Here is a 1,828-nt window from a genome sequence, read left to right on the forward strand (position 1 = left end):
TCCACCCCTGAGTTGCCTTTGGGTGGCCAGGCCCGGCTTCAAAGGGGCTGCGATGACCCATGGCTACTTTATCCCGTCTTCCCTGGTCAGGTTTCAGGACCCCATTTAACAAATGGGGGAGTATTTAGCCCATGCCAAGCTCCCAAGGCGTGGGGCGCTCCTGGAGTTCAAGATCTAGCAGCTGCTAGTAGGCCCTGAACTATGGGGGCTGGATATCCACCCAGGACATGATCAGGTGGAGCTTCCTGGAGGAGAAGGCCATGAAGCCCGCACCCTAGGAACAAGAGGGGGACACATTGACTCAACTGATTTCCTGGGAGTTGCTTCAGGAGCCCAGGTGGACCGCTCACCTCCTCCTCCCTAGCCATCTCTGCTCCTCCACCCAAGCAAGGCTGGTATTGTGTATCCTGCCCCAAAGCCCAGGTTCTCCTCCCTCACAAGGGGCAAGTTTGCCCAAGAGGATAGCAGCTCTGGGAATTAGCAGCGGTGGTTGGTGCTGGCACCAGGCCAAGGGCCCCCAGACACACGGGGGCCCAGGGATATGCTTTTGCCCTTCACTCTGAGAATTCAGCTTTTCTTGTGCAGCCTCCACCATGATAACCTCAAAGGGCTGAAAATCTGCAGCATACGGTGGGGTCCAGCACACCCTGAGGTGTGGAGGGGAGGGACAGGCAGCAAGTGTCCAGGAGGAGGAGGCCTGGGCCGCAAGGGGCCTTGTATGTGGGGTACCACACTGCTCCTGCCCCCCACACCCCCGGTCGGGTGGTGCCCCTTTTCCTTCTATCTCTGACTCTCCCCTCAGACGCCACGTGGTTTCCCTCAGGACTCCTGCCACCACCTCTCTGCTGTGTTCCCTAGGTTATGGCTGCACAATCCTGTGCCTCATGAGGCTAATACTTGTGGCCACTTCACCCCATTCGGTCAGCAAGGCGTCGTTCTTTCCTACAAGTGTTTGTTGTTGTTGTTGTTTTGAGACAAGGTCTCACTCTGTTGCCCAGGCTGGAGTGCAGTGGTGCGATCTGGGCCCCGTGCAGCCTCCACCTCCCCCGCTAGGGCGATCCTCCCGACTCAGCGTCCCGGGACTACAGGCGTGCGCCACAGAGCCCAGCTAATTTCTTAATTTTTGGTAGGGACCGGGCCTGCCTATGTTGCTCAGGTTGGTCTCCCGGGCTCAAGTGACCCACTGGCCTCGGCCTCCTCCCAAAGTGCTGGGATCACAGACGTGAGCCACCGGGCCGGGCCTTTCCCATAATTTTTTTTTTTTTTTTGAGACGGAGTCTCACTCTGCCGCCCAGGCTGGAGTGCAGTGGCGTGATCTCGGCTCACTGCAAGCTCCGCTTCCCGGGTTCATGCCATTCTCCTGCCTCAGCCTCCCGAGTAGCTGGGACTACAGGCGCCCACCACCACGCCCGGCTAATTTTTTTGTATTTTTAGTGGAGACGGGGTTTCATCAGGTTAGCTAGGATGGTCTCGATTTCCTGACCTCGTGATCTGCCCGCCTCGGCCTCCCAAAGTGCTGGGATTACAGGCGTGAGACACCGCGCCCGGTCTCCCGTAAGTTTTAAGGCACCCCCCTCTCCACTGGCGCTTCCTTGGTGGGGCGCTGGAGGCTCCCCAAGTTCTGACCGCTCTTCTCCGACCGCACTGTCCTGGGCCCGAAACCACCCCCAAAGCTGCCACCCATTCCGCTGGCGCCCGTCCCGTTGCCCGCGATGACTCGGTTTTGTCCAGCATAAATCAATGACCACCGTCCCGGGAGCCTTGGAGCACTTTGAGCCATTCCCGTCCCACCCACGCCCCAAGGAGGTCCCAGCCGCGGAGGACTCGC

The 1,828-nt window shown here is 59.3% G+C and overlaps 1 annotated feature.

The window, feature by feature from the left end:
- Nucleotides 61-954: an enhancer, noted in NCBI's record as "H3K27ac-H3K4me1 hESC enhancer chr8:145701473-145702366 (GRCh37/hg19 assembly coordinates)". NCBI's record gives its function as "activates a minimal SCP1, AML or CMV promoter by ChIP-STARR-seq in naive H9 embryonic stem cells {active_cell/tissue: H9 hESC(naive)}" and the evidence as "EXISTENCE:reporter gene assay evidence [ECO:0000049][PMID:30033119]".

Source organism: Homo sapiens, chromosome 8 (genome assembly GCF_000001405.40).
Source record: "Homo sapiens chromosome 8, GRCh38.p14 Primary Assembly".
NCBI lineage: Eukaryota > Metazoa > Chordata > Mammalia > Primates > Hominidae > Homo > Homo sapiens.